Source organism: Homo sapiens, chromosome 21 (assembly GCF_000001405.40).
Source record: "Homo sapiens chromosome 21, GRCh38.p14 Primary Assembly".
NCBI classification, from domain to species: domain Eukaryota; kingdom Metazoa; phylum Chordata; class Mammalia; order Primates; family Hominidae; genus Homo; species Homo sapiens.
In genome coordinates this window covers 46,461,297-46,482,692 of record NC_000021.9, presented here as the reverse complement: position 1 = coordinate 46,482,692, position 21,396 = coordinate 46,461,297, and the positions used below count along the sequence as shown (strand labels likewise).

At 42.7% G+C, this 21,396-nt stretch overlaps 1 protein-coding gene and 1 long non-coding RNA gene across 31 annotated transcripts in view; both read right to left on the bottom strand.

Moving 5' to 3' along the window:
- Positions 1 to 21,396, bottom strand: part of DIP2A (disco interacting protein 2 homolog A) — a 124,981-nt gene that overhangs the window by 101,179 nt on the left and 2,406 nt on the right. The window lies entirely within an intron of this gene.
- DIP2A-IT1 (DIP2A intronic transcript 1) lies at positions 13,387 to 20,222 on the bottom strand. The gene is made up of 4 exons (NR_046400.1): positions 20,171 to 20,222; positions 19,930 to 19,981; positions 19,465 to 19,627; positions 13,387 to 13,547 (listed from the first exon to the last, which is right to left on the bottom strand). It is a non-coding gene; the product is annotated as a DIP2A intronic transcript 1 (long non-coding RNA).

Genomic DNA, 21,396 nt, shown 5'->3' with positions numbered 1-21,396 from the left:
CAGGAACAAAGATGAGTAGTGCACAAGGGTAATAACATGCATGGAAGCTTGACACTTCCTATAATGACAAAGCCTTCTCAAATAGCTCACGAAGGGTCTGCCTGAGGCTGTTTGACAGTTAACATTTTTAAAATATAATAGGAATATACTCTAAAATAACAATAAATTGTACAGTAAATACATAAACCAGTAACATTCATTTATCATTACCAAGTATTATGTACAGTACCTAATTATATGGATTAGATTTTTAAGACTGGCAGCACAGCAGGTTTGTTTACACCAGCATCACCACAAACACGTGAGTAATGTGTTGTGTTACAATGGCTACAAGGTCACTAGGTGGTAAGAATTTTTAGCTTTATCATGATCTCATGGAGCCACTGTTATATATGTGGTCAATCGTTGCCCGAAACATCTACTGGGCATATGACCAGATATGGATACAGTTGTTCATAGTACTCCCTTATCATGCTTTAATGTCTGTGCAGTCTATAGAGATTGGCCTCTTTCATTCCTGACTGGTAATTTGTGTCTTTGGTATTTTCTCACTGTCGGTCTTGTTAGAGGTTTATCAAATTTATTATCTTTTCAAAGAACCAGGTATTGGTTCTACTGTTTTTTGTTTTTGTTTTTGTTTTTTTGAGACGGAGTTTTGCTCTGTCACCCAGGATGGAATGCAGTGGCACAACTGGCTCACTGCAACCTCTGCCTCCTGGGTTCAAGTGATTCTCCTGCCTCAGCCTCTGGAATAGCTGGGATTACAGGCATGCGCCACCACGCCTGGCTAATTTTTGTATTTTTAGTAGAGATGGGGTTTCACCATGTTAGCCAGGCTGGTCTAGAACTCCTGACCTCAAGTGATCCACCCGTCTCAGCCTCCCAAAGTGCTGGGATTACAGGTGTGAGCCACTGCACCTGGCCCCACTGATTTTTTCCTATTGTTTTTTCTGCTTTCAGTTTCACTGATTTCCGCTGTTATCATTTTCCTTCTGTTAGGAAACACAAAACCATAATGAGATACCACTATATGCCTATTCAAACAGCTAAAGCTTTAAAAATACTGACAATGTCAAGTGCTGACAAAGACTGTGAAGCAATAGAAACTCATATATTGCTGATGGGCATGCAAAATGGTATAGCCACTCTGGAAAACAGTGTGGAAGTTCTTTATACAGTAAAGCAAACACTCACCAGACGACCCAGCAATTCCACTTGATTATCTACCCTAGAGAAGTAAAAACTTGTGTTCACATAAAAACCTGTACACAATTGTTTATAGCCACTTTATTCTTAATCACCAAAAAACTAGAAACAACCCAGATGTCAAGTGAATGAAGAGACTGTGACGTAACCATACTATGGAAAACTACTCAGCAATAAAGAGGAACAGACTATTGATACTTGCAAAAGTGTGAATAAATTTCAAAATACATTACGCTGAAAGAAGAAAGCCATTCTCGAAAGGTTACATGCTATATGATTCCATTTATATGACATTTCGGAAAAGATAAACCCATAAGGATAGGGAATAGATCAGCTGGGGGACCGGGAGACTGCAAAGGGATAATATGAGGAGTGTTTGGGGATGATGGTGCTGTTCTTTTTCTTGTTTGGTCTTTTATTATGTTTTAGAGTCAGGGTCTCGCTCTGCCACCTAGGCTGGAGTGCAGTGGCATAGCTTACTGCAGCCTCCAACTTCTGGGCTCAAGCAAATCAGCTTTCCGGAGTCTGAAAGGAGTGTCTGACAAAGAAGTACTTCAGGCAGTTAGCAGCTGGGTGACTCCACAATGGACCAAGTGTGGCTAAGGAAGAAGCACCCCAACAGGGCATGACACAATGGCTGGGAGCCCCAAGGGCCCGGCAGGTTCCAATCCAGTACAGTACAGTCTGCCTTTGGTCAGGTCACTTTTACCGCCTCCAAGGTGGGCACCAGCCAGAAATCAGATACACACCAGAGACCTTGGACCCAAGTGAGCTGGACACAGCTGCCAGTGTTTATTCCTTTGGAAAGGTATTGGCCTTTCCCTTGCTGCCAAAGAACGGGTCCAAAGAGTCCACTAGGTCCCAACTTGGGCCACACAAGCTTACCCAGGATCCCAAGGCAAGGTCTCTGTGCCATGGCAGCTGGGAAAGCCCACAGCTGCCACGACTAGACAGGTCCTACTGGAGGTGCCGACACAGAGCAGGAGGAAACAATAAAATGAGGGATGATCCACACCTGATATGGTCTGGCTCTGTGTCCTCCCCACTCAAATCTCACTTTGAATTGTAATAATCCCCACGTGTCATGGGAGGGACCCAGTGGGAGGTAACTGAATCACGGGGGCAGGTTTTTCCCCATGCTGTTCTCCGGATAGTAAGTCTCACAAGATCTGATGGTTTTATAAAAGGACAGTTCCCCTGCACACGCCCTCTTGCCTGCCACCACGTAGGACGTCCCTTTGCTTTCTTCATCTTCTGCCATGATTGTGAGGCCTCCCCAGCCATGTGGAACTGTGTGTCCATTAAACCTCTTTCCTTTATAAATTACCAAGTCTCGGTTACGTGTTTGTTAGCAGCATGAGAACAGACTAATACAATACCTGACCATAATAAAACTTGAAAACAGATGCCACACAAAAAAAAAAAAAAATACAGGCAGTCTCCAAGCTCGTGACACAGAACAAAAGGTGAGGAAAATCTGTGAAGAGTAATATTTTGCACGGTGGCACCATTCACTGGTAACAGTCGTTCTTAATATAAGCACGTAGAGATTTCACTTTCCAAGCCTTAAAGTTTCCAAACACAGGGGTCTTAAATATACAGATCTAATACACAAAAGTAGAGCCTATCTGACTGCAATTTAAATTATTTATGCAGCCAAGCATGGTGGCTCACATCTGTAATCCCAGCACTTTGGGAGGCCAAGGTGGGAGGACTGCTTGAGCCCAAGAGTTAGAAGCCACCTTGGGCAACATAAAGAGACCCTGTCTCTACAAAAAAAGAAAAAAAACCAATTAGCTGGCTGTGGTGGCACATGCCTATAGTCCTAAGCTACTAGGGAGGCTGAGGTGAGAAGATTGCTTGAGCCCAGGAGTTCGAGGCTGCGGTGAGCTATGATCGCACCACTGCACTCCAGCTTGAATAGCAGAATGAGACCTTAAAAAAAAATAAGCAAATTATTATGCTTAACGCTGAAGAGTATAGATATGCTTCCACAGCAGTGTTTGAATGTCCACTGTCTCATTCATTTGTAATTAAAAGCGGGCTTTTTAAATGTGTAGTAAATATTTTATCTCAGTTTTTAATAAAATATGAAAAATATGTTCATTAAACTGAATACATACACACACATAGGAACTCCATTTATGGCACTGACAAAATTATAGCACTCAGACCAACTCTTCCAATGGGAACAACTAAAAAGATCACATTAAAGTTTTTCTTTAAATCTGAAGACATTACAGAAGTGAAGAACTGAGGGCCAAGTGAAGTCAAAAAGTAATCACCAAGTAGCTGAACTGAGTGGAACTTGGACAGACTCAGAGAGGCAGGAGCTCATCACGGACGAGGTGCCCTGGAAAGCATCCCAGGTTGTTTGTTGGGACTCAGAAGGACCACACCTTGGGTATGAACTAAAAATAGAGCAGCACTCATAAGGACTGGAGCCAGTTTCAAATCACTTTCTCTCTATATAGATTAAAGTGATCTTGGACTGCATCTATTCCCAACCTATCTACCTACCAGATGCAAAAGTAAGCCCTTTGTGGTCACAAATGATCACTATATAGACAATGTCTGGCATTTGATCAGAAGTAATTAGGCACATATGGCAGCAAGAAACTATGACTAAAATCCATGAGAAACAATAATAGAAAGCTATAGAAAATGGAACTTTAGAATAACCATAATCAATATGTTTAGGGAATTAAAAAGCAGGATTGTGAATTTAAAAAAAAAAACATAAATTCTAGGACTGAAAAATACTGTATCTCAAATCCAGGAATAAATTTAATGAAAGGTGTGCAAGACCACTACCCAGAAACTAACAACATTATAAAAACATTACTGAGATAAATTAAAGACCTAAAGAAATGAAAGGATATACCACATTCATGAATCTGAAGACTCAATACTGTGAAGTGTAATTTCTCTCCAAGTGGATCACAAGAGTCAGCCTGAGTAATTCTTGAAAGTTTTGCCAGGCGTGGTGGCTCACGCCTGTAATCCCAGCACTTTGGGAGGCCGAGGCAGGCAGATCACCTGAGGTCCGGAGTTCGAGACCAGCCTGACCAACATGGAGAAACCCTATCTCTACTAAAAATACAAAATTAGCCAAGCATGGTGGCACATGCCTGTAATCCCAGCTACTCGGGAGGCTGAGGCAGGAGAATGGCTTGAACCCAGGAGGCGGAGGTTGCTGTGAGCCGGGATCGCGCCATTGCACTCCAGCCTGGGCAACAAGAGCGAAACTCCCTCTCAAAAAAAAAAAAAATTCTTGAAAGTTTCTTGCATAGAAATTGACAAGCTGATTCCAAAGTATATAGGGAAATACAAAGGGCCAAGATTAGCTAAATCAAGCTTGAAAAACAAAATAAAATTAAAAGGGCAGACTTTACCAGATATGAAGACAGAATGGAGCAGGTGCTAAGATAAGCAAGTAGAACAACACAGCAGAAATCAGTCCGAAGCAGCAGGGGAAGGATAGCCTCTTCCAAATGTTCTGAGTCAACTGATTACCCAACTGCAATAGAAATGAAATCACTCTTCCCTCACACCACGCATGAAATTAAATTCCAGGTGAATTACGCATCTAAATGTGAAAGATGGCCGGGCGTGGTGGCTCACGCCTGTATCCCAACACTTTGGGAGGCCAAGGCAGGTGGATCACCTGAGGTCAGGAATTCGTGACCAGCCTGGCCAACATGGCAAAACCCTGCCTCTACCAAAAAAAAAACAAAACAAAAAAATTAGCTGGGTGTGATGGTGCGTTCCTGTAATCCCAGCTACTCAGGAGGCTGAGGCAGGAGAATCACTTGAACCAGGGAGGCGGAGGTTGCAGTGAGCCGAGATAGTGGCACTGTACTCCAGCCTGGGCGACAGGACAAGACTCTGACTCAAGAAAAAAAAAAAAAAAGAAATACACACACACACACACACACACACAAATCTTTTTTTTTATTTTAGGCGGAGTCTCACCCTGTCACCCAGGCTGGAGTGCAGTGGCGCAATCTCAGCTCACTGCAACCTGACCCTCCTGGGTTCAAGCAATTCTCCTGTCTCAGCCTCCCAAGTAGCTGGGATTACAGGCGCCTGCCACCACGCCCCGTTAATTTTTGTATTTTTAGTAGAGACAAGGTTTCACCATGTTGACCAGGCTGGTCTTGATCTGCCTGCCTCAGCCTCCCAAAGTGCTGGGATTACAGACGTGAGCCACCACGCCTGGATAAAAATATATACGTATAAATCTTTAGTTTTGATATTCTATTAGGAAAAAGGGCACGTGCTTCCTTGACTTACCATGGGAGGAGTAAGCTTAAGTCAATGTTGCTAGATTTACCCAAACAATCGGACCGGTCCTACTGGAGGTGCCCACACAGAGGAAGAGCAGGAGGAGGCAAGAAAACGAGGAGTGATCCATACCTGACCAGTGTAAAACTTGAAGACAGATGCACAGAGAAATTAAATGATCCTTTTTACATATCCACGGCCTAGCAGGGGTACGTCAACTTCCAGATTAAGAGCGATGCTACGAGCTGGCTGCAGTGGCTCACGCCTGTAATCTCAGCACTTTGGAAGGCCAAGGCAGGCAGATCATTTGAGGTCAGGAGTTTGAGACCATGGTGGCCAACATGGTGAAACCCCATCTCTAATAAAAAATACAGAAATTAACCTGGCATGGTGGCACACACCTGTAATCTCGCTACTGGGGAGGCTGAGACTGGAGAATCACTTGAACCCAGGACGTGGAGGTTGCAGTGAGCCAAGATTGTACCACTCCACCACTCCAGCCTGGGCAATAGAGTGAGACTCTGTCTCCAAAAAAAAAAAAAAAAAATAGAGTGATGCTATGACTAGAAGACGTGAGATTCATCCCAAATCTGCCTTGAACACCCTAGATCTGCTTCCTCTATATTGAGCACACATTGACTCCTACACTTACTACCCTGTCTGATGGCTCTCTCCATTTCCCTCCTTTTCCTGAGCTCTTCCCCATGCTAGTCTCTATCTGTGCTTCTGGGCTAGTGCCCTGCGCCTTCCTCGGGCACTCTTCTCCAAGAGGACTGTGGAGTCATGCTGATGCCAACTCTGTAGATTGCTCATCCTCTATTTGTTTCAAAAATACACTTGGGAGAAAAAAACTACCACAACATGGTATAACCATATAAGATAATACCACACGGCAGTTAGTCAGATTGAGCCAGAGCTACATGTATTAACATAATCATCATAATTTTTTTTTTTTTTGAGACGGAGTCTTGATCAGTCCCCTAGGCTGGAGTGCAGTGGTGTGATCTCAGCTCACTGCAAGCTCCGCCTCCCGGGTTCACACCATTCTGCCTCAGCCTCCCGAGTAGCTGGGACTACAGGTGCCCACCACCATGCCTGGCTAATTTTTTTTTTTTTTTTTGTATTTTTAGTAGAGATGGGGTTTCACCATGTTAGCCAGGATGGTCTCAATCTCCTGACCTCGTGATCCACCCGCCTTGGCCTCCCGAAGTGCTGGGATTACAGGCGTGAGCCACTGCGCCCAGCCAATCATCATAATTTTTAAAACATAATATTGAGGTAAAAAGCAAGTTTCAGAAGGATTTATAAAGATGATTTACATAGTTTTAAAATATGCAAAAACACTATCGATTGTTTCAGGATATATGGAAATGCAATTAAATGATAAAATACCAAATTCAGGAGAGAAGTTGGGAAGATGACAAATGGAATCAGAGAGTGAATGGGAGTCATCTCTCTCTATAATGGTTCAAATATGAATCTAATGTGTCCAAATCTTCATTTTTTAAAAATTGGGTGGTAGGTACGTGGGTACATATATCATGACTCACACAAGTTTTTGGTATGTTTGAAATATTTCACAATTAGAGAAAAATCAAACAAGAAGCAGTCTTCCATATTCAGAAGTTTCTAACTCTTAAAAGACTTTCAAACTGAAGCCTGTGGCTGACTATACTGCACTTTCCAAGGACCAGAGAGTACTTGCTCAATATGAATGTCTGCCATATTTTCTACAGTACTCATGAGCTTGTTTAAATTATTCCTTCTAACAGAAGTTAAGACCCTGAACATGCATTCAGGACATACAGGTAGATAACAATGTCAGTGAAAGGTAACAAGACTCTTCCATAAAAATATAGCTCTTGGCTAACAAGTTTGTGTATAAATAGGTAATAAACCTTTTAAAATAGCAGGTATTTAATGGAAGAATGTTTTTAAATATCACTTGGTGAGCTAAAGCCACATGGTGAAATAATTCTTACTAAACATTCATGATTAGAAAACTTAGACTAGCCTTGCAACTGAAAGGAGAACTTAGATATTATCCACTTCAATGTTTTTCCAACCTTTCAGCTGCACATCTTCTGTTCAACTGAACAGTTAGGAAGAGTGTTAAGTGGAGAAGAGTCTCTGGTTGAGGCAGACATAGGGCTGCTGAGTGCCCACTTCCCCAAACAACTGGTGGTACCTTCTACAGGAATACATCAGCAGACTCTGGAAAACCGATGAAAACCATATCCTTTCCTCATTACCACCTCCCATCCTCCTCCACAACTTTGTTCAGAGGATGCACTGTACATCTGCTGCAGACCTGCTCCATCCCTATCTTCCCTAATCAGATAATCCTCACTGCTCTGATCCACCGTTCCAATTTCCCAGAACCTAGACTATGAATTCCTTTTCAATTCTGAAAACCTAGCAGGATGTGGGGGTGCGCAGCTATAGTTCCAGCTACTTGGGAGGCTGAGGCTAAATGATCACTTGAGCCCAAGCCCAAGAGTTCAAGACCAGCCTAGGCAACACAGTGAGATCTCACCTCTTTAGGAAAACAAAAACCAAAAAACAAAAAAACCTCTTCAACCATTTCAATGAGATTTGAGGAAGTACAGTCATCTTTGCCTGATGATTGGTCATGAATACTGACCCAGAAAATCCTCCACACACATTTCCCTGCCTCAGCTGCACAGATGCCCACACATGTTCTGTCTCCTTCCTCAGTCTTCCCTGCAGTCTCTCCCTTCTCTGCCTTTCCCGTATGGATTTGGGTTCCTCAGAGTTTTTTCCTAGGCTCTCTTTGCATTATTCATTTCTCCTTATGGGGTAATCATATTCACTCCAATTACTATCTATGTGCTGATGACTTCCAAATTACTAGCCTAGCCCTTTCTAGAAAGTACTAGACTCATATATCCAAATGCACTCTGGGTCCCACCACTCAGATCTCCTAGAGCAGCCTCACACTCCTTTTGTGTTCCACGTCTTCGTGAGCAGCACCATCATCTCCCAGACAGGTGTTTCAGAAACTCCAGAGTCACCCTAGACCCTCCTTTACTGTGCACTTCACACAGAAGCCTGCTGGCTCTACTTCTGATTGCCCTCTCCATCCTATTGGCTCAGCTCTGTCCAGACCAGCAAAATCTCTTGCCCTGGATTACTGCAATGGGTTTTTCAAGCTAACTTTTCTGTCCCCCAATTTCAGACTCCTCCAATCTACTTTTCACATACTGCAGAACAATCTTTCTAAATCAAAGAGGGAGACAGAAAGAGACAAAAGAGATTATGCAGAAATGTTTTGTTAATACATTTTTTAAAAAGGTGGGGCTGTGTGGGGGTACTGCTGGCTCCATCATTTATTAAAGAAGACCTGTTTAAAGTAAAGCACCTGGCCAGGCGCAGTGGTTCACGCCTATAATTCCAGCACTTTGGGAGGCCGAAGTGGGTGGATCACTTGAAGTCGGGAGTTCGAGACCAGCCTGGCCAACATGGTGAAACCCCATCTTTACTAAAAATACAAAAATTAGCCGGGCGTGGTGGCACACGCCTGTAATCCCAACTATTTGGGAGGCTGAGGCAGGAGAATTTCTTGAACCCAGGAGGCGGAGGTTGCAGTGAGCTGGGATTGCGCCACTGCACTCCAGCCTGGGTAACAGAGCAAGACTCTGTCTCCAAAATAAAATAAAATAAAAAATAAATAAAGCACCCAAGAAAAACCACCGCCATGGCCCCCCCCCCTTTTTTTTTCCCTGAGACATGGTCTCACTGTGGCACCCAGGCTGGAGTGCAGTGGCATAATCACGGTTCACTGCAGCCTCAATCTCAAGCAATCCTCCCACATCGGCCTATCAAATAGTTGGGATTACAGGCATGCACCAACACACCTTGCTAATTTTTTTTTCTTTGTAGAGACAGGGTCTCCCTATGTTGCCCAGGGTAGTCTCAAACTCCTGCCCCATAGCCTTTAATTAAAAATAGGAAATTGACATCTGTTTACAAGATTCACTGAGTTCTTGAATGTGTACACATATTTTCATCTTGCTCATTTTCTCTCCTTTGTCGAGAGCAGTGGTAGGAATAAAATGTATTTTCATGGTATTTCTTGTTAATAGGAAGCCTTCATGCAGAGCATACACTTTGCTGTTGTCCAGTACAGCAGCCATTAGCCATGCATGGTTAAATTTTAATTAATTAAAAGTAAATTAAATTGAACAATCAGTTCCCTCGTCCCACTACCCACATTTCAAGTGTTCAGTAGCCACATGTGGCTGGTGGCCACCATGCTGGACACCACAGAACTTTCCCATCGTAGCAGAAAGTTCTAAACAGTGCCATTCTAGAGGCAACAGGTACCAGCACCCCTCCTGCCTTACTCTTGGTCACCTCACACATCCACAACACCCAACCAGCTACAGGGAGGAATTTGAGTTTGTTTCAACCAGCTTGTCTAGACTCCAGAGAATCAAGTCCAAATTCCTTACTAGGATGTGTGAGCCCTGCTGTAAGTTAGCCCCTGCCTTTCCTCCTCTACCTGTGGAACACTGCCTGGAATTCCTTGGCCCACTCAACTTCGGTTCACCTCCCTTTGTCTTCATGTCCATCCCCGCTCCTCCTTCTCCACCCTCTTCACACATGCTTTCAAAACAAAGCTCAAGGAAACTGTACTTCCTCTATTGGCCCAGCTTGCGCAGTGCTGATGATCCCTCCCCTTGGGCTGACTGGGTTCTGTACACATTTCATGATATTGCCACTGTTTACATGTCTTTCAGCCCCTGCTAGACTGTAAGCCTCCTGGCACTCAGTCTGTTGAATGTTGTTAAACAACAGGATGACACACTGAGTGTCCGTCTGTTCAGGCTGCCGTAACAGAATACCAGAGTGGGCGACTTAAACAACAGACATTTATTTTCTCACAGTTCTGGAGACTGAAAGCTCAAGATCAAGGTGCCAGAGGGTTCATTTCTGGTGAAGCCTCTCTCCTTGGCTTGCAGACAGCTGCCTATGTCTTCACATGGCCTTTCTATGCACAAATATCCCTGGTGTCTCCTCCTCTTCTTATAAGGACACCAGTCCTATTGGATGAGGGCCCACCCCCTTGACCTCATTTGATCTTAAATATCTCCTTAAGGTCCAGTCTTCAAATATAATCCATTGGGGTTAGGGCTTCAGCATACCAACAATTGTGTCCTTTTGTTTCAGAGACTTAATTTAAAGGTTCTTTACTAAAGATACTGCAGAAAAAGTTCTAAAATCTGAAAGAGTGTAAAAGCTCTTTGTCTGCTATTTCCAAAATGGTACTCTTAAATTATGAACAGTTCAGTGTAGAAAGAAGACACAGGATTTCTATTCTTTCCTTATAGCTGATTAATTCAAAGTCTGAAAGGAAACCCCCGCATGATCACTGTCTCCCAGCTATAATTTTAGCTGCTGCCTTCAAGAACCCAGGAAATCCTAAGAACAGAGGCCATGCATTTCCTGTGTGAAAAGGGAAGGGAGACCCTTGGGTACATTAGTCTAAGTGATAATCTATCAATACACAATAGAAGTAACAGCTATTTTTAAGTGTTGTGTCTTCACTGACAATAGTTTTCTTTGCTAAGCAGTGTATAACTTCCTAGTCTTTTTAATAGACCAGTGCAATACTGAAAATGTCAGCTAATTTAAAGGTGTAAAGATTGAGCCACAAGGATTATGTTAATTCTACCCAGAAGCAAGCTCACTGCACAGCAAAAATTAGTTTTAAAAGATTTACTGGGATGCTGATAATGCGGGAGGCTGTACACGTATAAGGGTGGGGGAATATGGGATAGTTCCGTACCTTTCTCTCAATTTTGCTGTGAACCTAAGACTGCTCTTAAAAAACAAAAACAAATAAGGCCAGGCACAGTGGCTCATGCCTGTAAACCCAGGACTTTGGGAGGCCAAGGCAGGAAGATCGCTTGAAACCAGGAGTTCAAGACTAGCCTGGGCAACGTGGTGAGACTCTGAATCTAAAAAAAAACTTTAAAAGTAGGCACGGTAGAGTGCACCTGAAATCCTAACTACTTGGGAGGCTAAAGCGGAGGATAGCTTAGCCCAGGAGTTTGAGGCTGTAATGAGCTATGATAGTGCTACTGCACTCCAGCCTGGGCAACAGAGCGAGATTAAATAAACAAAATATGTACTGGCAGAATAAAGTTTTCCCATTAACTTAACCCTAATTCATTTCCTTCCTTTCTTCAGTTATAACATAGAAGAGTGACCAAATAATATGAATTCTTTTTTTTTTTTTTTTTTCTGAAACAGAATTTCACTCGTTTCCCAGGCTGGAGTGCAGTGGTATTATCTTGGCTCACTGCAACCTCCGCCTCCTGGGTTCAAGCGATTCTCCTGCCTCAGCCTCCTGAGTAGCTGGGAATACAGGTGCCCACCACCATGCCTGGCTAATTTTTTTTTTTTTTTTGAGACAGAGTCTCACTCTGTCGTCCAGGCTGGAGTGCAATGGTGTGATCTCTGCTCACTCCATTTCCCAGGTTCAAGCAATTCTCCTGACTCAGCCTCCTGAGTAGCTGGGATTACAGGCATGCGCCACCACACCCACCTAATTTTTTTGTTTTTAGTAGAAACACGGTTTCACCATATTGGTCAGGCTGGTCTTCAACTCCTGACTTCGTGATCCGCCCACCTCGGCCTCCCAAAGTGCTGGAATTACAGGCGTGAGCTACCGTGCCTGGCCCCCCCTTTTTTTTTTTGAGACGGAGCTTCGCTCTTGTTGCCCAGACTGGAGTGCAATGGCACGATCTCGGCTCACCGCAACCTCCGCCTCCTGGGTTCAAGTGATTCTCCCGCCTCAGCGTTCCGAGTAGCTGGGATTACAGGCATGTGCCACCACGCCTGGCTAATATTGTATTTTTAGTAGAGACGGGGTTTCTCCACGTTGGTCAGGCTGGTCTCGAACTCCCAACCCCAGGTGATCCGCCCGCCTTGGCCTCCCTAAGTACTGGGGTTACAGGCATGAGCTACTGTGCCCAGCCCATTTTTTGTATTTTTAGTAGAGATGGGGGTTTCTCTCTGTTGGCCAGGCTGGTCTTGAACTCCTGACCTCAGGTGATCCGCCTGCCTTGGCCTCCCAAAGAGCTGGAATTACAGGCGTGAGCCACCGCACCTGGCCTGAATTCATTTTTATACTAAATAAATGTATATCACATCAGCCAAAATAATACATTAAAAGATTAAATATGTGATTTGAAAAACAAAACTGCAGCTCTTGAATTCTATCTTTTTTTTCAAAAGATGGAACAGGTATCCTGGCCCCTGACCTGCCCTGATGATAAGAGAAGCAGTCACACGTGGCTAATGCTCACTGAGGACACACTACGTGAAAGGGAGATTTATGTGGGAAAATGCCCTTGAGGGAAAATGGGGAGGGAACCAGTAGATGTTTGCCAGGGGAAGAGGAAAGGAAGGCAGGTGGGACAGAAAAAGTCTTAGACTAAAGGCAGCACTAAGAAAGTTCCGGCCAGGCCAATGAGGAGTCCTTGAGACAAAGTTCTCATCAGGACTCCTGGGAAAGAGCCTTGGTATTCCTGCTATAGGAAGCATAGCCTCAGCTTGAGGGTAGTGTGGACCCACAGCATGGCGATGAGGCCATCAGTGGATTATGCCCTCATGGGCCCCAAACAAACTATTAGATTAGATGTACGTCATCGAGCTCCACACCAGTGAGGCCTCTCCAGCTTAGCCTGGATCCTACAGGAGGACAGGAGCAACAGTGCACTTATCTCAGTCTCCTCTTAAGTTTTTTCTTTCTGGTCACTTAAAGCAACAAAGGCCACACTCTGATTCAACAGCTCCCTGAGGCACAGATCCATCCTGCTGATGGGTTCACTGAATTAGAAAAACTGCTGTAAAAAAGCTAAGTTTGAATCCATTTACAGAGGATTCTTTATTTGAAACTGAATAAACACCATGTGAAGTTTTCACTTTTATTAACTCAATAAGCATCCATTAAAATGCCTAAAATGTGCAAGGTGCTGGAGACAGAAAGATGAGCAGATCAAACCTTCCTCTTGAAATGCTCCCTGTAAAATGGTATAGAAAAGACAAGCAAACAAATAATCATGAAACAAATAATTATGATCCTACAAGAGTGATACAATGAGTTTTAAAAGGATACAGAGCACAGGCACTTTATTCTGTGAAGGTTGGGGAGAAGGGGGCTTTAGTAGAAGGCAGAGCCTCCAACAGAAAGTGAAGTTTAAACTTAAGCGGTGAAAGAAAGACAGGAATTAAACAAGTACAGAATAGCTGGCAATGAAGCATGTTTAAAGTTTTAGGATATTAAAATTGAAATCACTGATATTTCTTTTTTTAAATCGACATGATTAACCTATAAGAACTCGTGCATATTTAATATATAAATTTTGATGAATTTAAAGGTAAGTATATCCCTGTGAAACCATCACCATAAACATAAACATAAACATCATCTCTAAAAGTTTCTTCCTTTCCTGTTTGTGATAAGAACATTTAACATGAGCTCTACTCTCTTAACAAATTTTTAAATATACAATACAGTATTGTTAACTATATGCACTATGCTGTACAGCAGCTCTCTAGCAGTTACTCATCCTGTATAACTGAAACTATATACCCTTTGATCAACACCTTCCAGATTCTCCCACCACCCCAGTCTCTGGCAACCACCATTCTACTCTCTGCTTCTATGAGTCTGACTATTTTAAATTTCTGACACAAGTGGGCTTGTGTAGGATTTGTTCTGGCGCCGATTTTCTCTCTTTTTTTTTTTTTTTTAGACAGGGTATCATGGAGTGCAGTGGTGCAATTTCAGGTCACTGCAGCCTCCACCTCCCAGGTTCAAGCGGTTCTCCCTGCCTCAGCCATCAGAGTAGCTGGGATTATAGGCGTGCACCACCACACCCAGCTTTTTTTTTTTTTTTTTTTTGAGACAGTCTCACTGTCACCCAGGCTGGAGTGCAGTGGCACAATCTCAGCTCACTGCAGCCTCCGGCTCCTGGGTTCAAGAGATTCTCCTGCCTCAGTCTCCCGAGTAGCTGGGATTATAGGTACTTGCCCCCATGCCAGGCTAATTTTTTTTTTTATTTAGTAGAGGCGGAGTTTCACCATGTTGCCCAGGCTGGTCTCAAACTCCTGGCCTCAAGTGATCCGTCTACCTCGGCCTCCCAAACTGCTGGGATTACAGGCATGAGCCACTGCACCCAGCCCTAATTTTCATATTTTTTAGCAGAGATGGGGTTTCACCATGTCACTCAGGCTGATCCCAAACTCCTGAGTTCAAACGATCCAACCTCCTCAGCCATCCTCTTCGACCTCCCAAAGTGCTGGGATTATAGGTGTGAGCCACTGGGCCCAGCTGGCATTGATATTTTTAAAGAAACTTAGAAATCAAAATTTTGTACAAAGACACTTGTACTGGGATAATTTACTATGAAAAAAAAAACAAACAAAACCTAAAGAGGGTATTCCCGAAACATGAATAATAAATTTTGTTAGTGCAACAGACAAGCAACTAGTCAGTAAGTGTAACTTTTAAAGATTTTCAAACATGTTTTATAAATTTAAATGCCTGATTGTCCTTACATACACAAACTGAAATAATTATTAAACTAGGCAATAGCTTTAAAATGTTACAAAAAATATAAAGAAATAGATGATGACATCCATGTCTTTCAGCTACTATGTTCTAGTTATTCAAGAGACTGAGGCAAGAAGATCATTTGAACCCAGGAGTTAAAGGCAGCAGTGAGCTATCCTCACACCACTGCACTCCCAACTGGGCAACAGAGCGAGACACTATCTTAAAAAACAAACAAACAAACAAACAAACAAAACTAATACTGTGAAATTTTTTAAATATTTAACTCATTTAAATTTTTTTTTTTTTTTTTTTGAGACGGAGTCTCGCTCTGTAGCCCAGGCTGGAGTGCAGCGGTGCGATATCGGCTCACTGCAACCTCCGCCTCCCAGGTTCACGCCATTCTCCTGCCTCAGCCTCCCGAGCAGCTGGGACTACAGGCACCCACCACCACGCCCGGCTGATTTTTTGTATTTTTAGTAGAGACAGGATTTCGCTGTGTTAGCCAGGATGGTCTCGACCTCCTGACCTCGTGATCCGCCCGCCTCGACTTCCCAAAGTGCTGGGATTACAGGCGTGAGCCACCGCGCCCGGCCTAACTCATTTAAAATTTTTAATAATAAACTGACTAGATATTAAGGTAAATAATATTTTTTACTAAAAATAAAAGATTTCTGAAAACAAAAACATTTAGTAAGAAGAGGTATTCTTTTACATTTTTGCAAGTTGCTTTAACTCTGGCTTCAGAGAAGACAATATGGATTCTCATACCTGCTCCTGTATCCAATCTGTTGTACTGTGTGGTTTTTTTGGTTGAAGTCTATGAATCAAATCCTTTTTCAGAGAGACATGCAGTTGGAAAAAGGTGGGGTGTCTCAGCAGCCTTTTCAGATCACTGTGGACATTCTTCCTTGATACAACACCAAAACCAGGCAAGGGGGAGTCTCTTAAAAAAAAAAAGTTGTGGCCGGGAGTGGTGGCTCAGGCCTGTAATCCCAGCACTTTAGGAGATCAATGCGGGCGGATCACGAGGTCAGGAGTTCGAGACCAGCCTGACCAACACGTGAAACCCAATCTCTACTAAAAATACAAAAATTAGCCAGGCATGGTGGCAGGCACCTGTAATCCCAGCTACTCAGGAGGCTGAGGTAGGAGAATCACTTCAACCTGGGAGGCAGAGGTTGCAGTGAGCTGAGATCGCGCCACTGCACTCCAGCCTGGGAGACAGAGCAAGACTCCATCTCAAAAAAAAAAAAAAAAAAAAAAAAGTTATAATGTAGAATCTATAACTCTTATCAGTGAACTTTTCATATCACTACATTAAAATCCATTGGTCTATCTTTTGAATGAATCTTTTACCCATGCACTATGACTTTGTAACGTGGTGCAATGGTGAGCTGGAAAATATTAGTTCACAAAATTATGTGGATCTTCCAAATGCTGACACATTTAATTATATAATATCAAATACTCATTCATTATATTGTCACCAATCTCATCAAAGAAGTCGTTAACTATTGAGAAACTGTCAAGCTCACTGTAGCAGATAAATTTTTTCAAAATTTTGATTTTTGCTTGAAAGCACAAATATTATCATTGGTCATAAATTGTCAGTTATTTCCTCTCATTTATTTTCCAGAAAACGTCCACCAAATACCCAAGTCTCAATAACTGCAGATTGTCTGCTACCCACTTTTTCAAGCAAAAATGGCATTTCACAATAAAAGCAGCTAGTTCGCTTTGCAACTCAAACTACACAATTGCTGTTTCTCAAAACAGGCACTGTACCTCTTTGTGCAGCAAAAGCAATTCATGTACTTCCCATTTCCTCATGAAAAGACAAAAGGCCAATTTTTTTTTTTAATTTTTACTGCTTCATCAGGGTCTGTTTAAGTGAAAGCAGCCCTTTTTGTTTTTTTAAAACTGCAAGTGGAGAGGTAGCGAATAATATAATGACTATCAGTGACACTTGGAGTCCCTGCCTCAATTTACGTTAAAGTGCCCAGCAGTTTTCCCTATTACTGCTTTTGGACCATCAGTACAAGTGTCAACACAGTGAAAACAGAAATGGCATCTTAGTATCATTATAAAAATAGTCTCCCTCTGCCTCCTGGGTTTGAGCGATTCTCCTGCCTCAGCCTCCCACGTAGCTGGGATTACAGGCACGTGCCACCATGACCAGCTAATTTTTTTTTTGTTATATTTAGTAGCAACGGGGTTTTGTCATGTTGGTCAGGCTGGTCTCGAACTCCAGACCTCAGGTGATCCAACCACCTCGGCCTCCCAAAGTGTTGGGATTACAGGAGTGAGCCACCATGCCCAGCCAAAATCTGACTTTTGACAGCTGAAATATTACCTAGGATGCAGTGGACACTGAATAATTACTGAATAAGTGAAAACAAATACAAAAACAAAAAGCAGCAAGAACTCCAAAAGAGGGGACAAATGATATGGAAGTTCTGAGAAAGCAGTCACATTAGAGATGATCAAGGAAGGTTCAAAATAAGAGGGTGCTTTGAATATTCCCTCAAAGTTTCTTTTCAGCAATTTATTCTATATTATAAAGATCCTCACCATTCTTATCCATCATTCAAAGGAAATTCTGCTTTCCTGAAACAACAAATATTGGTTCAAATTCTGAATTGTGTTCAGAAGAATTATCATCATTAAGTACCATTTAACTAAAGTGCTCTAGAAAATAATCTACATGCTGTTCCAGGAGAACTTCCCTATCTCATATTCTGACATTTGTTGTGTGTTTTCTTGAAAAAAAAAAAAAAAAAAAAAAAAAAAGACATGAATATTAAGAAAAAGGAAGAAACTCAGTGCCCAATGCAGCAGTGTTGAGCGGCAGAACCTTTAAGAGATGATCAGTGGATTAATGCTGTTATCGCAGGGACAGGTTAGTTATCAGGAATGCGTTCCAGACAAAAGGATGATTTTGGCCCCCTTCCTCTCTCGTCCACACATTCTCTTGCCTTCTCACCTTCCACCATGGGATGACAGGCCAAGAAAGTCCTTGCTAGATGCTAGTACCTTAATATTGGACTTCCATCCTCTGGAACTGTGAGAAATAAATTTTTCTTTGTAAATTACCTATATGTGGTGTTCTGTTATAGAACACAAACACAACACAAAATAGACTAAGATAGAGAGCATTTGGGGTGGCCTTTGACAGATGAGTAGAATCTGAACATGAGAACGTTTTTCTTTTTTTGAGACGAAGTTTCGCTCTTGTTGCCCAGGCTGGAGTGCAATGGTGCAATCTCGGCTCACTGCAACCTCTGCCTCCCAGGTTCAAGTGGTTCTCCTGCCTCAGCCTCCCAAGTAGCTGGGATTACAGGCATACGCCACCACGCCCGGCTAATTTTTTGTATTTAGTAGAGATGGGGTTTCACCATGTTGGTCAGGCTGGTCTGGAACTCCTAACCTCAGGTGATCCACCCGCCTCAGCCTCCCAAAGTGCTGGGATTACAGGTGTGAGCCACTGCGCCTGGCTGAACATGAGAACTTTTATATACCACAAAATATTCAAGAAGCACAACAAATGTTTATTAACACAAAGGCAATGACAGGCTGTCATTTTGAAAATTAAGAATTATGGGCCAGGCGCGATGGCTCATGCCTGTAATCCCAGCACTTTGGGAGGCCGAGGCAGGTGGATCACGAGGTCAGGAGTTCAAGACCAGCCTGGCCAATATGGTGAAATCCTGTCTCTACTAAAGATACAAAAAACTAGCCAGGCGTGATGGCGTGTGCCTGTAATCCCAGCTACTCAGGAGGCTAAGACAGGACAATTGCTTGAACCCGGGAGGTGGAGGCTGCAGTGAGCCGAGATCGCGCCACTGAACTCCAGACTGGGCAACAGAGTGAGACTCCGTCTCAAAATATACACACACACACACACACACACACACACACACACACACAAATATATCCCAGATTTTAGAAATTAAAGACAGTTAAAGAGGAAAAAAGCTTTGTGAGAGAAGTCTCTTCCTGTATACCCAGAGTTTTTTCCCCCTTTTCATTTTATTCCATCTAGACTAGAAGTCCTGCATTGTTAGAATATAAGAAATCAAGAAAAAGACTAAAGTTAAAGCTATGGAATAGACCTATTAACCAGAATAAAGTAATTGGAATGGGATAAAGGTAGCCTATTGTGTAGGAATTTCCTCTCTAACCCACTGTAGTCTATTAAAACAAAGAACAAAATACCACTGTCCATGTTTTTAAAGCAGTTCAGCAGCAATAGCTCCAAGACACGTACAGCACTGGTGTGCCAAAATCAGCTGTGAGGTGTGTCCAAGGTAATTTGTTACAGCAACAGGCAAAGCACAAAGGTTTGGGAATTAATTCTTTTTTAAATATCAAGGTTATACCTCTAATGATCTCACTTCCATCAATGAACATCCTGATAGGTTTTCAGGAACCACACATATGAATTCTTCTGTATGTGTTCATGATTGGGGGGCAGGGGGTCTAAGAAGAGTGGGGTTCCATGTACTTCTACTCTTCATCTTCATCTTAATCTGAAGCAGACTCCTAAGTCAAGAGGGCAAAACAGCCAGAAAAGTTAAGGAGCAAGAACACAGCTATGCCTTATTTCCCTCTTGGGAATCTATAACAGAAATTCAGCAAACTTGCCCTATGGAAATAAATCATAGCATTCTACCAGAACCTTCCCTCAGGGCCAACGCCAATCACTATGGTTGATGATGAGAATGCAGTGAGGATGCTGGAGAATAAGGCCAGGTGTGAGGTATGAAGAAAGGCAGAGGATACTTTCAACAGGCTGAGGGGAAGGCATGCAGGATTTTCTAGATTATTCAGGTATCACTCATTACCAGTTTCTGTTGAAGACAGCATCTTTGTCACTGTTAAGCTTCTTCTTCCAACCTACCAAGCACAGTGACAACTCTTAAGTTTTAGGCAATTTCTCACTTAGATAAATGTGAATGCTATAAAAAAGTTACACTATTTTGACAATATATAAAAATTATAACAATGAAACACTAATGTTGGTTGTTTTAGGACTATAACTCATTACTAATATCTCCCTTTAATTATATAAATAAAACACCTTACCAGTTTCGAAGCATTTTCACACACACTATGTGACTGAATCTTGACAATAAACCTGGAATGTCAATAAAGCTGGTATTCACCCCCTTTTACAGCTAACTAAACCCACGTTTAGAGACATTGTAATCCACAGGAGATTCACAGACACTTTACCAGATGCCCACCACTGTGTGAAGAAGCCAAAAATCTGCCTAAAACAAAGTCCTTACCAGTAAGCATCTCCAAATCCAACAGGGAGAGCCCACGTCAACAACAACCACCACATAAACTACATAAGCCAGCATTAACCTGTGGAAGCGCCCTGGAAGCAGGTCCACGTGTGACTGTGCCTAAGTAATCACTGACCTATTTTGGCCAAAAGAAAAGTGTCAGGCCAGTCTAGGAGCAGGGAAAGAAGCCAAGAAGCCAGAGCTTCCACCTCCTTGGCTGCCACTCTACTACTCTGTTCTCTGCTGTCTTCCCTTTAACACTTTTTTTTGAGACAAGGTCCCACTCTGTCTCCCAGGCTGGAATGCAGTGACACTATAAAGGCTCACAACCTCGTCAGGTGATCCTCCCACCTCGGCCCCTCAAGTAGCTGGGACTACAGGCACACACCACCATGCCCAGCCAATTTTTTTTTTTTTTTGGAAGAGGCAGGGTCTCCCTATGTTGCCTAGGCTGGTCTCAAACTCCTGGGCTCAAGTGATCCTCCTGCCTGGGCCTCCCAAAATGCAAACATAACAGGCCTAAGCCACCATTTCTGGGCTCAATACTTTTTTTGTTTACCCCCTTTCTCAGCTTAAGCTATTTTTCGAGGTTCCTCTCCATGTTACATAATCTTATACCTTTACTTACCTATACATCCCCTACATATCTCTAAGATGACAATAGCATAAATGGATCCAACAGATAGGAAACATTTCTTTCATTTAAGTACTTGTGTTCTGTCGCACAAATTATAAAGTTCTTTGAGGAAAGGATTCAATTGTCAATGCCTAGCAAGCACTCAAACACAACTACAACACAAAAAATTGAGGGAATAATGAATACATTGGAGCAGAAATTAGGAGCAATACGCAAAAATATGTTTGAAATGCACAGAATCTAAACTGCGTATATGTGATTTTCCCTAAAGAGCCTTAACAAATGCAGTACAGTAGATCCTGTCAAACCCATTCCTAATTTAAGTTTGTCAGACTGCCTAGGAGCATCTAATCACCAAGAATTCTCAAATCCATCCATTTCTT